Below are 15,225 nucleotides of genomic sequence, written 5' to 3'. Positions count from 1 at the left end.
TGGTTGAGGCTGCAGTGAGTTGTGATTGCACTACTGCAGTCCAGCTTGGGCAACAGAGCAAGACCTTGTCTCAAAAAAAAAAAAACAACAACCAACAACAATAATAACATATATATTTTTTGTTAGTGAAGCTGTCTGGGCTGGGAGATTTCTTTTTTGGAAGGTTTTAAATTACAAAGTGAATTTATTGAGTAGATACAGGACTCTTCAAGTTATCTGCTTTTTGTGTGAGTTTTGGTAGTTTGTGGCTTTCAAGGAATTGGTCCATTTTATCTAAGTTGTTGGGTTGATGTGTATAGAGTTGGGAATAGTATTCTGTCATTATCCTTCTAATGCCAGAGTCTGTAGTGATATATCGATTTTCTTCCTAATATTGGTCATTTGTGTCATTTTTCCTTTGTCAATTTGGCTACAGATTTATCAGTTTTATTGCTTTCTGCTCTTTTCTTAATTCCCTCCTTCTCTTTGCTTTGGCTTTATTTTGCTCTTTTTTTTTTTTTTTTTTTTTTTTTTTGGTGGAGTCTCGCTCTGTCACCCAGGCTGGAGTAGAGTGGCATGATCTTGGCTCACTGCAGCCTCCACCTCCTGGGTTCAAGCAATTCTCCTGCCTTGGCTTCCTGAGTAGCTGGGACTACAGGTGTGTGCCACCACGCCGGGCTAATTTTTTGTATTTTTAGTAGAGACGGGATCTTGCCATGTTGCCCAGGCTGGTGTCAAACTCCAGAGCTCAAGCAATCTGCCCACCTTGGCCTCCCAAAGTGCTGGGATTACAGGCATGAGCCACCGTGCCTGGCCCATTTTGCTCTTTTATTTTTTTCTACTTTTGTAGTTTCTCAAGATGGAACTTGGATTGATAAGACCTTTCTTTTTTTCTAATATACATGTTTTGGTGTTATAAAATGCTCTTTAAACACTACATTAGCTGCATCTCACAAATTTCAGTTTGTTGTGCTTTTATCTTTGTTCAGTTCAAATATCTTCTAATATTCCTTGAGACTTCCTCTGGACCATGAATTATTTTTACGTGTGTTGCTTTATTTCTAGTATTTGGAGGTTTTCCAGTTATATTTTTGTTATTGTCTTTTAATTTAATTCTGTCGTGGTTAGAGAATATACTTAGTATGACTTCAATTTTTAAAGTTTGTTGAAGTTTCTCTTATGACCGAGGAAATGGTCTATATTGGTGAGTGTTCTATGTGCACTTGAAAAGAATGTGTATTCTGCTGTTGATATGTGGAGCATTCTGTAATGCTAATTAGATCCAGTTTGTTGATAGCGTTGTTCAGTTCTTCTACATGCTTGCTAATCTGAAAACTTCTCCTACCAATTACTTAAAGAAGAGTATTGAAATCTCCAACTATAATTACAGATTTTGTCTTTTTCTCTATTCAATTCTATCAGTTTTTGCTTCAGGTATGTTGAAGCGCTGTTGTTAAGTGCATTCTCATTTAAGAGTGTTATGTCTTCTTGGTGACTTGACCCTTTTATCATTGTAAAATGCCCTCCTCTTTATCCCTGGTAATTTTTCTTACTCTGAAATCTAACTTGTTTAATATTAACATTGCCATTCTAGCTTTTTTTTTTTTTTTTTTGGTGAGGCAGAATCTCGCTCTTGTTGCTCAGGCTGGAGTGCAATGGCATGATCTCGGTTCACTGCAACCTCCGCCTCCCGAGTTCAAGCTATTCATTATCCTGCCTCAGCCTCCTGAGTAGCTGGGATTGCAGGCACCCGCCACCACGCCCAGCTAATTTTTTCTAGTTTTAGTAGAGATGGGTTTCACAATGTTGGCCAGGTTGGTTTCGAACTCCTGACCTCAGGTGATCAACTTGCCTTGGCCTCCCAAAGTGCTGGGATTACAGGTGTGAGCCACAGCTCCTGGCCCTAGCTTTTTAAAAAAATTTACATTTGAAAGGCATTTCATTTACTATTATCGTATTTATATCATTATACAGCATATTGTTGGGTCTTGTTTATTTTTTTCATTCTGATAATTTCTGATTTTTAATTGATATGTTTAGATTATTTACATTTAGTGTAATTATTGATATTTTTGAATTTAGAGGTTTCATTATTTGATTTTTATTTCTGCCTTCTGTTATTAGTCCCTGTTTTCTCCTTTCTGCTTTCTTGTGGGTCGACTATTTTTTGTATTCTATTTTAATTTACTTATTAAGTTTTTTAAAAAAACTATATCTTCTTGTATACTTTTTAAAAGTGATGGATCTAGTGATTGCAATATACATACTTAAATTAACTTCATGGTCTACTTAGCAAATTTTGCTTGAACAAGGTCATCAGGCTACAATGTGGGGATGCAGAGAGATCAATTAGGATTAGGAATACCAGATTTAGCAAATAAAAATACAGGATGGTCCTTGAAATAGTTCAAGGAATTCATGGAATTTTAACTAGAAAAAAAAATTAAAAACAGATGTCCAGTTAGATTTAAATTTCAGATAAATCCTGAATAATTGCTTAGTGTGAATATGTCCTGTGCAATAGTTGGGACATACTCATACTTAAAAAAATCATTGTTTATTGGAAATTCAAATTTAACTGGACCTCTTGTACTTTATCTGGTAATCCCAGTTAGGTTGCTATTTTGAGTGAAGATGGCTGAACAAGGCTTGGTGGCGATAAGATAGGGAAAAGTGGACAGATGCAGGAAAGATTTAGGAAGCAAAATCTAGAGGATTTGGTGTAGATGGGATGTTAGGATGAGAAAGAGAAGAGTCCAGGTTGATCCCATGGTGGTGTGTGACTTGCGCCCTCTTTGGATGGAGACTGGTACCCCTGCTGCAATGGGGAATGCAGGAGGAGTGGTAAAAGCTGTAGTGGGAGGTTTTGGATGTACTGATTCTGTGGTAGCTTTGAGATACCCAAATGGAGGTGAAAGCCAGGTGGCAGATATCCGGGTGTTTACTTGAGGGAGTGGTCTGGGTTGGACACACACAGATGCAGATGTCCTGAAGCTACCAGCAAGGGTAAACTCCTAGGAAGAGAGTACACCACATGAGAATACGTGGACATAAGGCCCTCCCCAAGGAACATCAACACGTAGTAGCCACACCAGAAGGGTCTGGCAGAGAAGGCTGAGAAGAGGCATCCCAAGGGGAAAGAGGGAAACCAGCAGAGTGTTGGGAGGTGGAACGAGTGTAGGGAGTGGACAGTAGTGCCAAATACTCTGGAGAGATAGGGAAGATTAGTTCCAGAAGTTAGAGGGAAATGGAGTTGCTGTCACTATGGGCAACTGGTGCTCAATCCCACTGGGACCCTCTGAGGCACCACAGAGTTGTCCCTCAGAAGGATATTTATCTACCCACTCTCTCATCTAAGGAAGACAGGAGAGGTACTGACTCCCACTTGCATCTCTTGTGTCTGCACTGCATGACTCCTGCTCCTGCCCCTTGCCAGCCAAGAGAGTGGCGGGCCGGAGTGGGATGCTTCAGTCTGGAGGAGGAGAACAGTCTGCACAGCTGCAGTTGAAATCTAAGAAGGGCCGATGAGATGAGGAGCAGGACACACAGATCATCTGTTACAGTCAGGAAGCTGAGGGGGTTCTTTTCTACTGGCTTCTCTGGCTCTGGGTAGAAGGAGGGAGGTGCTCTGCTGAGGATAGGGGGAGGTGGTGGAAAGGTCAAGGGGCAGAGGGCAGAAGGTGTGCAGGATGGACCTTGTGTTAGTCTATTCTCACACTGCTGTAAAGAAATACCTGAGACTGGGAATTTATAAAGAAAAGAGGTTTAATTGGCTCGTGGTTCTGCAGGCTGTACAGGAAGCATGGCTAGGGAGGCCTCAGGAAACTTACAATCATGGCAGAAGGGGAAGGGGAAGCAGGCATGTCTTACACGGCCGGGAGAGGAGGAAGAGAGTGAAGGGTGAGGTGCTACACACTTTTAAACAACCAGAACTCATGAGAACTCACTCACTATCAAGAGAACGGCAAGGGGGAAATCCACCCCCATGATCCAGTCATCTCCCACCAGGCCCCTTCTCCAACGCTGGGGATTACAATTCAGCATGAGATTTGGGCTGGGACACAAATCCAAGCCGTTTCAGACCTGTTCATTGCAGAGTGAGAGAGGCCAGATAAAAGCAGGTGGATTTTTGGTCAGGTTGAGGCCAGCTGAGGCTGGTGACCTAGAACCCTGAGTGGTGACAGCTTACCACCTGACTGTGTCTCTGCAGCAGGTGAAGCTTGGAGAAAGAGCTAGGGTCAGCCAGGGCTGGAGTTCCACCAAGCAACTAGCCTGACCCTCTCCTCCTGATATGGGGGCTGGGCTGTGAAGAGTGGGAGTTCTCAGAGAGCCTTCTATGAGGCTCAGAAGTGAGTGCTCCCTGGCACCCTGTGAATGCAGCGAGTCTGGGCTGGAAGGGAATCTTGGGGCCATATGGTACACCCTGCCTCTCCTTGTGAGCAAATCCTGTCATCCCAACCTTTAGAGCCAGAGAAAAGGAAAAAAAAACACAATTCAATGGGGACCACTTATGAAGGTCAGCTTCCTGGAGGAGGTGAGTTTTTACCTAGTGGGAAGGCACAGATCTTTTCAGAAGAAGTAGGGGAAGGCATATCTAATTAGAGAATTTGCTTTTTGGCCAGGCGTGGTGGCTCATGGCCTGTAATCTCAGCACTTTGGGAGGTTGAGGCAAGAAAATTGCTTGAGGCCAGGAGTTCAAGACTAGCCCAGGGCAACATAGCAAGACCCTGTCTCTACAAATAATGTTTTAAAAAGTAGCCTGACATGTTGGCGCATGCCTGTAGTCCTGGCTACTTGGGAGGCTGAGGTGGAAGGATCGCTTGATCCCAGGAGTTCGAGGCTACAGTGAGCCATGATTGTGCCACTGCACTCTAGCCTGGATGATGGAGCAAGACCTTGTCTCTCTCTTTTCTTTCTTTAAGACAAGTCTCTCTACGTCACCCAGGCTGGAGTACAGTGGTGCAATTACAGCTCACTGCCGCCTCAACTTCCTGGGCTCAAGCGATCTTCTCACCTCAGCCTCCCAAGTAGCTGGGACTACAGGCATGTGCCAACACGTTCACGCTTGGCTAATTTTTTTTTAAGTAGAGATGGGGATATTGCTATGTTGCTCAGGCTCTTATCTCTTAAAAAAAAGAAAGAAAGAAAGAAAGAAAGAAAGACCGTGGCTCACACCTGTAATTCCAGTACTTTGGGAGGCCAAGGCGGGCAGATCACAAGGTCAGGAGTTTGAGACCAGCCTGACCAACATAGTGAAACTCTGTCTATACTAAAAATACAAAAAATTAGCTGGGCGTGGTGGCAGGCACCTGTAATCCCAGCTACTCGGGAGGCTGAGGTAGGAGAATCTCTTGAAGCTGGGAGGCGGAGGTTGCAGTGAGCCGAGATCACGCCACTGCACTCCAGCCTGGGAGACAGAGTCAGACTCCGTCTAAGAAAGAAAGAAAGAAGGAAAGGAAGAAAGAAAGGAAGAAGGAAGGAAGGAAAGAAAAGGAAGGAAGGAAGGAAGGAAAGAAAAGGAAGGAAGGAAGGAAGGAAAGAAGGAAAAAGAAAGAAAGAAAGAAAAGAAAGAAAGAAAAAAAGAAAAAAAGGAAAAAGAAAGAAAGGGCTCTTCAATGGTTTGGAGGTGAGACTGAGGCACACAGAGTCAAATCTTCCTGCCACCCCTGTGAACCTGAAAGGCCATCCTGTCCAGGGCTCAAATCCCCTCTGCAGCAGGCATCTGTTTGGCCCTTTGAGCCAAGACTGTGTGCTGGAATGCAACTGGTAGAGACAAGGGGTGGATGTCCCCTGATCACCCAGCCCCTGCAGACACCAGCTGTCCCCTCCTGGGGCATATCAGACAGCAGCACATCACACCATCCTCCTGGAGGCTCCAGGTCCTTCCAGGGTCCTCACATCCACCCCAGCCCTGACCCAGGCTCCTGCGTGCCAGCTTTTCAGCCCTGCCTTCTGCTGAAGGTGCTCATTCTTCACCACCTGAGTATCAGCCAGGATGCTTTTGGCTGCAAGTAACAGGAAAGCCACTCAAAATGGCTTAACCAACAGGAGTTTTTTTAATTACTTCTAGTTATTTAACACCAACAGTGGCAGACATCTGTGCAGGCATATTTTTAAGGGTTTTGCAAATAAATCACTTTTATTCTCATAACAGCCCTGTGAGGTAGGTGCTATTGTTATGCATTCTACAGATGAAGAAGTTGAAGTAGCTGGTTTAAGGTCACAGGCTTGCTTAACAAGATGTCAGGAGGTTGAATACGTCCAGGGCAGGTCCAGCGGTTCAGTACATTATCTTGGGTCCTATTTTTGCTCCTCCCTCCACTCTGCTATTCTCAGCATGTCAGCCATGTTTTTCCTAATGGTCACAAAGTGGCTGCCACATCACACGCTCACACCATAATATCCAAAAGCAGGAAGGGAGAGCTCCTCTCCTAGCATATGGCTCTTTTTATCAGGGAGTAAAATCTTTCCTAGAATCCTTCTAACTGACTTATTTTTATTGTTTATTGGCTGAAATTGGGTCACATGCACACATTTAAGCCAATCACTGGCAAAAGGGAGCAATGGGCTTGCCATGACCGGCTTTGACAATCATGTGTGGCCTCCCTTCTCTGAGCCTCCCCACCAGAAGAAGCGATCTTGTCTGCTGGGTGGGCAACCAGCGGTGTCTGTCACGGACCAACTTCCCAAAGAGCCAAACCCTTCTGTTTCCCAACATTTTGAATCAGTTGGGGAACTCAAAAAAATGTTTAACAGAGTCAAAAATGGCTTCTCCACCTGCATGGGCAACTAATGGTATATTTGGGAGAAATTTAATTTGACTGACTTGGCTGTAGCACAGACCTGGCTGCAGATCCAGGCCTCGAGTCCCCTCCCACCTGTTCAACTGCCACCATTCCTCCAGAATCAGCCCACAGTCCCCTCCCAGCCCCTCACTTCCTCCCACCTGTCCCATGGCATGTTGTATGTACCTTGGGTGTTCACCTCCTGAATTGTGGTAGGTGAGTTATATGTGTCTCTCCTCTACCATCCTCCTCAGTGGGGTTCTTACACACAGGAATGTGTCTCATTGATTCTGGTGCCCATGGAACATGGTGTGGGCACACAGAATAACAGCAATGGCTGAAAGGGCTTTACCCGGTGCCAGGTGCTGGGGGTTTATATTTATTGACTCTTTGGATCTTCCTAAGGACCTGAGGGTGTGTGGCAGAAGCTGCTCTTGGTCATTGATGTCCTCTCCCACTCTCTCCCAGGGCACACCACTGGACCACATCCCCTGGCCACCCTTGCAGCTAGGAGTACCTGTGTAACCCCCTTGTCACCAAAGGAAGCTGGGTGGGAGGGATGCCAGCCAGGCCTTCAGAAAAGTGTCTGATCTGCCTTTAGCAGGGCCCTGGCCCGTGGAGACCACAGGGACCATGGGGACAACAAGGGCAGGGCCCCTGGGGAAGGTGGAGCAACAAGACAGAAAGAGCCTGGGCCCTTTGGTCACTGCTCCGCAGGGGCCCGTCTGCTGGCGTAGGCTGCCCTGCACTGAAACAGGAGTGGGAAAGAAGGTGCAGCTGTGCTTGAGCCAATGCACTCAATGCGCCATGGGCCTGGTACGGCAGCTCAGCCCACCCTGGCTGGTGCAGGTGGCGGCTACAATCATCTCCCACAGGATTATCCCCATTCTAGAAGTAGGGGAACCAAGGCAAGGGGTAGTGGGGGTTGAGTAACTTGCCCTGGGTTACACAGCCAGTAAGTGGCCATGCCAGGTGACCCAGGCAGCATGGCTGCTGTGCTCTGTACCCTCAGCAGGCTCTGATAAAGGCAGGAGCAAAGATGGGGACAGTCAGGACCTGTGGGCTGCAAATGAGGTGGTGAGGAGACTCAGAGAAGAGCAAGGTCAGAAACCGAAGCTGAAGTCAGACCTGAGCTCTGAAAACACCCACAGGAAGGAGCAGGAAGGAGAAATGAGGCCTGAGGAGGGGGTGCTGGATTAGTCGGTGAGGGCCAGGGAGGCGAGAGTGGTGTCTTGAGTCAGCTGCTCCGAGATGCTGGGCCCCGTGGAGCCTAGAGGGCCCCTGGGTGTGGCAACCTGAGGGGGTGTCTGTACAGGTATGAATGTCACTTACAGAACCTATGCTTATAGGACTCAAGGAACCGGGGTGGGCATCCGGCCCAGCCCCTACTGAGGAGGAAACTGGGAGGCGTTAAGAGGCCTGCCAAAAATCCCAGTGTGATTTTTTTCCTTTTAAGTCCAGAAGATGCTTTGTGTGGTAAACATTGGCTCCAGAATCACATCTGGAGCCCAGGAAACCCAGGGCACCCCCGCCAGCCCCCCAGCTCATCGTGGCGTCACTGTGCTATTATTTTAACTATTGCACTCACTGAGAAATACTGCCAGCATGTAAAAGACTGTGTTAATTAATTAACCAGGCACTTCATTGAGAGTCAATGGTGTAATTGTTGTTCGTGGTGGATAAATACTAATTGAATATTAAGAACATATTTGTGCAGAAGGAGCTGCTTCAGGAGCGAGCCGTGCCCTTTGTCAGCCAGATGTTTGGACTCGTTATAGAGGCTGAGTCATTAGCGGGGGGTGCCCTGGCATGTGGGCTCTGCTATTCTGTGTCTGAGAAGGAAGGAAGGCCGCCTGAGGAAGGACTGGCTCCTGGGCAGTGAAAGGTAAGGGATTTCCACAGACAGACCTAGACTGGAAATAGGAGCTGTATTAAGCAGATGACAGGTAAGTGTTAAGCTTTGGCCTAGGCAGTTCCAGGTGTGATTTTTAAAACCTTCATACAGCTGGCTTAGTCCTGGCCAGGGAGGTAGGCAGGGTGGGACGTGTTGATTCCATTTTACAGATGGGGAAGCGGAGGCTCCATGAGCAAGGCCGGTGACTTGCTCAGGATCACAGAGACAGGATCACAGAGCCAGTCTCCCTGCTCCCACTGCAACAGGAGGTTACACAGGTATACCTAGCTGCAAGGGAGGCCAAGAGACGTGGCCCAGTGGTGTGCCTGGGGAGGGGGTGGGAGAGGACATCAATGGCCAAGAGCAGCCACTGGCACACACCCTCAGGTTCTTAGGAAGATCCAGTGAGTAAACAAATATAAACCCCCAGCACCTAGCACCAGGTAAAGCCCTCTTAGCCATTGCCGTTATTCTGTTTGCACCAGGTTCCGTGGACACCCGAGGCAGGCAGCTCAGACTTGGGGCCCCAGACCCCGGGTCAGCTAGGGGAGGTGACCCTCTCCCCCTGCTTCTCTGGAGTCCCTGTGTCCCAGGCCTGACTGGTGCCCAGGAGTTGGAGCCCTCCTGGGGTTTCTAGCTCTCACGATGGCTCTGCCCTGTCAAGGCAGTGTGAGGCAGTATAGTTAGTAATGCAGGCTCTGCAGCCAAAATTCTTAGATTAAGAGCTCAGCACAACCTCCTATGTGCTGAGAAATCTTGGACAAATTACTTAAACTCTCTGTGCCTCTACACTAAAATGGAGACAATGATACAGCTCATAAGCAGGGCAGTGGCTGGCTCACACTATATGGAAAGAACATAGGCTGCACTCTTGGCCAGGTTCCCTTGTGCAGTGAACAACCAACCTGCCTGACTGTATATGGCAGCCCCGTCTACAGGGTTGTTACGAGAGTAAACAAAATGTAATACGGTAAACACCCAATGCACGTTAATAATCTTCCACAGTTTTCGGATCCCATTTCCCTGAGAAGTGGGCATGACTTTGCTGCCACCCACCAGCTGCCAGCCCTTTTAGAAGGGCTGATAAGAAGACATGTAGACCGAGAACACAAGAGGAGATGGCTCCTGTCACAGCACCGACAGCAGCCGAATCTGCAGAGCCTGATAACAAAGTGTCTGCCAAAAGTCCTGGCCCCAGAGCCATCAGAGCGGCTGAAGTCAGACCTTGCCACTGCGCCCTCCACTCCAGCCTCTTAGTCACTGTAGTCACTGGGTCCTGCAGGGAGCTAGCTCACAACTGTGTAGAACTCTTAGTTGGGCCTCCCCAGAGGTGGGCCTTGAGGCAAGGATTCAAATCCAATTGGATTCCAGTTTAATTGGTGGATGTGGGGAGGGAGACAGGAGGGAAGGCAGCTGCTGTGGGCAAGTGGAGCGCGATGCTGCTGGGAATGCTGGGAGGCAGCCAGAACCTGCCCCACAGTTACCGCGCCCAGGGCCTCCCAGCTCCCACTGCTGGGGCTGCCGCGTAGGAGGGCAGCGCAGACTCCAGACGTGGCACTCTGTGAGACTGAGCGCCTGGAAGGCGAGTGGGTGGGCACTGAGTTGAAGAAGGGTGGAGGGGACATGGGCAGCACTGATGGGGTCTGCTCCACCACGAAGCACCTTCCCATTTCTGGCTCATCGGCATGAGGGACTCTTCCACCAGAGAAGCTGGAAGTGGAGGTGGGGCCTGAGTCATCAGTCCAGTCCTTGCCAGGTGCCAGGGGCTGTTGCCCGATGTCATGTCATTGTTGTGAGTTCAGTCTGAGGGAAGAGAGGTTGGTTCTTTCCCACTGTCACAGAGCTTGCAAGCACAGAGGCGTGTGGACCAGGGCCCGTGCTCTTAACCACTGTCCTGCAAGGGCCACACTGTTAAAAACACACTTGGCTCAAAAGGGTCTACAGGGAGCAGCCGACAGAGGCCCTGCAGCACCCTAGTTCCTTCCTTTGGGGACACTGGAGCCCACCTCTGGGGTGAGGGGTGCCATGTGGGCCCCTCCTAGCTCAACTCAGCCCAGTAGCTGGGGGAGGGAGGGTCTGGCCTCAGGTCACGGCCCAGTGCCTTTCTCCCACTGCAAGGCACTCCCGAGTCTGCTATGCAGCCAGGCAACCTGGTCTAACCTCACCATACCTGTTATTAGTCAGGGACTGGGTGAACCCCCAGCAGCTTCCCTCACAGAATCCTGCAGGGGCATCACCAGCAGGCCAAGTCTTCTCCATGCTGGGAGGGAGGAGGGATGGAACCCGAGGCCGCTCCAGGAGCTCCAGGCTGAGGAGGAGGCAGAGCCCTTGAGAATGTCCTGTCTGATGGGCCACCTGGTCCTCAGGGAGCTTCCCTGTGCTGGGGAAGGCACAGCGCCAGCCAGGGGCAGCTCTGCATTCTCCACCTTCCTGACAGGGTAGCATAGTGGGAACAAGCCCACACCCATCCTCAGGAATACCAGACAGGAGCTGGGAACCTGACGTGGGGCATGAGGGAAAGCTCTGTGCTCTCCTCCTGCAGGGGATGAGCCAGGTCTGAGCATCCAGGTAGGGCCAGGCCGAGGAATGTCCAGGTGGCCAGAGCCAGGAGCCATTGTGTCTGTCTCCAGAACCCTCTCTGTGGCTCCTTCCACAGCCCATCTCACAGAGTGGGGAAGCTAAATGAGGCTCCCATCTCCTTATGGTCCCTTGGGGAGGCCCCCCCATAGCTCAGACAGCCCCTGGGCCAGCGGAGCAATTTGTGGATGATGTCCAAGAAGGGTCCCCTTCTAGGTGCCTCAGTGGGGCTCAAGCCCAGGCCTGCACAGCCTGGGGAGTGGGCATCTGTGTGTCCCATGGCAAGACGAGTGGGAGAGGCCAGAACTGCCTGGGGAGTGTTGAGACCTCAGACACATCAAGGTAGCCCCCCTCACCCCTCACCCCCACACTTCAGCCTGCATCCCAGGTCCCCACAGGTACCAGCAAAGCTCTCCTGGGAAGCCGATGACATCAGAAGTGCCCCAGGAAGCCACCGCCCCCGGGGCGACAGACGGGACTATTTATATGGAGGAAGCAGGCCTGTCACCTCCAGCTCCAAGTTACCTCCTGCTTCCCCGCTCCCTCTCTGCTGCTGCCTATATTAGGAGCTTGGCAGATGGAAGGAGCCGGGACCTTCCCCCACGCCCCAAGCTCCCTACACGTGCCAGTGCCACCTTGAGCTAGCAAGGGCCTGGCTCACCCTTCCTCGGCTGCCTGTACCTGCCTCCAACCCTACTAGGTAAGGACCCAGTGCCAGCTGATTCTAGGGGACAAGCCAGAGGGATCCACAGAGGAAGGGGGGCAGAGAGGGTGGGACAATGGTTGGAAGACAGGGAAAAAGGAAAGGGTGGAGGGAACAGTGTGGAAACCCCAGGGGACCAATGAGCAAGGAGGGGAGGTCAGGTCTGAGACAGAGGAGTGGGGCAGAAGGAAGAGCAGGGGGTCTGGGCGCCCCTCCAACAGTGTCTGTGTGCAAATTAGGAAAAGGCGCCCTCTGCAGGCTGATGAATTAGAAGAACGCATAAGTCAGGGGTGCCTCTGTGTGAGGAAAGATACCCTTCTTCCCTGAGGACTTGGCCTCATGCCAGGTCACGGAGCTTGGGGAGAGGGGCATGGGCCTGCCTGTTTCCCCTGCTCCCTGTCATGACCTGCACTGCTGCACCTGGCAGCCTGGCAGCCCTGCTCCCAAGGCCCTAGCAGGAAGAGTGGCTGAGGAAGAAAAGCCTGCCTTGGGGCCTGATCTCCGGGCTGGGGGCCACTGTAGGTCAACCCCAGTGCTCTGCCAGGTTCTGACCCACCAAGTGGCAACTGGTTTAATGATGTTGGCAACCAGACCCCAGGCTCATTAGGAAAGTGCACAGAGTGCTGACCCAGCCAGGCAGAGTGCCCACAGGCGACGACCCGTGAAGCTCTAGCCTGGTCCCCCATGGGGTGACAGTCTGGACCTCCTGCCAGAATTTCCTGCATCGGTGGCCGCCGCTTATGTCTCCCAGCAGCCCCGGAGGGAGGATAAGCACCTGGCTCAGCATCCCAAGCCCACCTGGGGCCCACCCCCCTCTTCCCCATTTCTTTGTACACCCAGCAGATGGGGCCTCTCACCATCCTAGGCGCGGGGTCCTCCGGCTTTCATTCCTGGTTGTGTTCTGTGGCTATGGCACTCAGGAGGTGTCAGAGACTGAAGTGCAATTTGCATTTTAATAAAGAAAGTTGTATTGCAATCATTTGCATTTAAATAAGGTGCTGTTTCCTCCTCCCTTCCTCCCCTGCTGGTGGTGGCACCTTTGGGAGAAGAAGAATCCCCAGGCCTTCCGTTCCTTGTACTCCTCCTCATCCAGCCAACTTCAGTGGGGGATGATGGGAGCGGTGGGAATCTGCCCTCCCAGTACTCGGTCTCTCCCTGCAGAGCTCTTTTGCACAGGCACACACACTCACACACACACACTCACACACACATGTATGTGCAAGTGAATATTCACATGCATCATATGCACACGCATACACAATGCACGTGTGCACACACGTGCATAAGCACATACAAACACACAGCCACCAAAGGCAATAAGATGCCCTCTTGCCTGGTGCTTCCCCAGCTACCTAACCCCTGGTAAACAGCCTGAAGAGGCTCAGGCCTGGGCGGTGACACCCCTGGACCCACTGCATCCAATTTTTGCTGAGTCCTTTCTCTGGACTCCAGTGGGGGCCCATGTAAGTCGGGGAGGGTTGGGGGAGCAGTGGCCTAGTATGAACCCTGTGTCCCTAGGAGCCCCTTCCTCACCCTGGCTGGGCTCAGAGGTGCAGGTCTGCACACTGAAGCCACCTGAGTTCCAGGCTGTCAGCTTCCTTCTTCCTCAACCAACATTTTTTTAGCCAGTGCTTTGGCTTACTGGTGGTTCCCAAGTGGCTGCCAGCTTGCTTTCCTGGCTAAAGCTCTGTCTCCTGAATCAGCACCCGCCCTCATCTCCCTCCAGAGTCCCCAGACTCTACACACTTGCAGTTTCTTCAAGACAGCACTCCCTTTACTTTTTTTTTTTTTGGGGGATGGAGTCTACGCCTCCTCTTCATCCCTGCTCCCCTTCTCCCGGGCGGTGCTGTGGCGCACAGACCCACATCCTGCACGCCTGGCGCTGTCCCTTAGGCTCAGTTTCTCCGTCTCAAAATGGGACAACCTTGCCTGCTCCTTGACTTGTGGGGATTAACCAGTCACAGAGTCACATGCTTGGCACATGGTAGAGGCTCAATAAATGAAGGCTGGTATCCCCACAGAGCCCCCAAATTCACACAGCCTGATCACACTGGGCATAGAAATTTGGCCCCAATAGAACCTCAATAGAACCTCAAGCAATAGAACCTCAGGACCGCCACAGGTTGGTTTAAGCAGACACTGTGTCATATGACTCGGTCCAACAGGAAGGAATGCAGCCTGACACACAGTAAGAAGACCTGGGTGCCATGTCACCTCACCTCTCGGAGCCTTGGATTCTCTGTCTGTAAAATAGGTGGTATAACAGGACAGTGGGAGGGGCCAATGAGCTGCTGGGCATTGGTGTGCTTGGGAGGCTGCAAGGCAGGAGGGTAGGCCCCTGACTGGCTGGAGATCCCACCCCAGAACAACAGGCAGGAAGCCCAGGCAGAGCTGGGCAGGGCCACCGGCCCTCACAGGGCCCCAGTCTCAGTGTACCTGCATGGATAGCACCCTTGTCCTCACAGCCAGCCCCAGGAAGCCGAGCTACTGTCCTATTTACAGATGAGGAAACAGGCTCCAAAGTCATTCCACCACCCCAGCCCCCTGGCGGGACGTGGAGAAGGCTGGAAGTTGTGCCCACATGAGAGGACGTGGCGGCGACAAGCCCTGTGGGCATTTGGGTGTAGAGCATTCCCGGCCAGGGCCCAGAGGCAGGAGCATGCCCCCTGTGCTGGGACAAGGAGGCTGCCAAGAGGCGCGTCCTTCGCCCTGGGGTGCCGGCAAGGCTGGTGGCCTCTCGTGTGGTTGTCCTCTATTTTCTGAGTTAGCTGTGATGGGCAAAAGGTTGGCAAGCTGGGTCTGGGGCAAAAGGTGCCCAGGGGAACGGAGAGGCCAACCTAGGACTCCCCAAGCAGGAAGGGCAAGGAAGCTACCCCCTGGGATGGGGTCTCAGTGAAGAAACAGGGAAACTCAGGCAGCAGGCCAGAACTTGGCCAGTGGAGCCAGGTTTGCCCCAGACCCTCAGGTCCCTTCCTAACGAATCATCCCAGAGGCCTTCCTGGCATTGCCATCCCCACAAATGCTTCCGGACTCACAAGGTAAGGTCTTGGAAGCATCTCCTCCCAGGAGTATGATTAGAATCCCACCTCTGCCCCCCAGAAAAGAATGTCCATGCAGGTGTGTCCCCCAGCCCAGCCTGGACGGACAGTGCTTCCCTCCCCATTTGCAGCCCCTTCCTGTGGTCCAGCCCTGGCCGGCCTGCCCAGAGCCAGTGGGGGCCCTGTTGCCCTAGCATTCGCAGACATATGTAGAGGGAGAGCTGTGCGGGGGCGCCTTTGCCTTCCTGG

At 51.2% G+C, this 15,225-nt stretch overlaps 2 annotated features.

Annotated features, from left to right (window-relative positions):
* Window positions 11,625-12,364: an enhancer, noted in NCBI's record as "H3K4me1 hESC enhancer chr6:33926356-33927095 (GRCh37/hg19 assembly coordinates)". NCBI's record gives its function as "activates a minimal SCP1, AML or CMV promoter by ChIP-STARR-seq in naive H9 embryonic stem cells {active_cell/tissue: H9 hESC(naive)}" and the evidence as "EXISTENCE:reporter gene assay evidence [ECO:0000049][PMID:30033119]".
* Window positions 12,365-13,105: an enhancer, noted in NCBI's record as "H3K4me1 hESC enhancer chr6:33925615-33926355 (GRCh37/hg19 assembly coordinates)". NCBI's record gives its function as "activates a minimal SCP1, AML or CMV promoter by ChIP-STARR-seq in naive H9 embryonic stem cells {active_cell/tissue: H9 hESC(naive)}" and the evidence as "EXISTENCE:reporter gene assay evidence [ECO:0000049][PMID:30033119]".

This window comes from Homo sapiens, chromosome 6, assembly GCF_000001405.40.
Source record: "Homo sapiens chromosome 6, GRCh38.p14 Primary Assembly".
Lineage (NCBI taxonomy): Eukaryota > Metazoa > Chordata > Mammalia > Primates > Hominidae > Homo > Homo sapiens.
The sequence above is the reverse complement of the archived record's forward strand: the minus strand, read 5'-3'. Positions and strand labels throughout refer to the sequence as shown.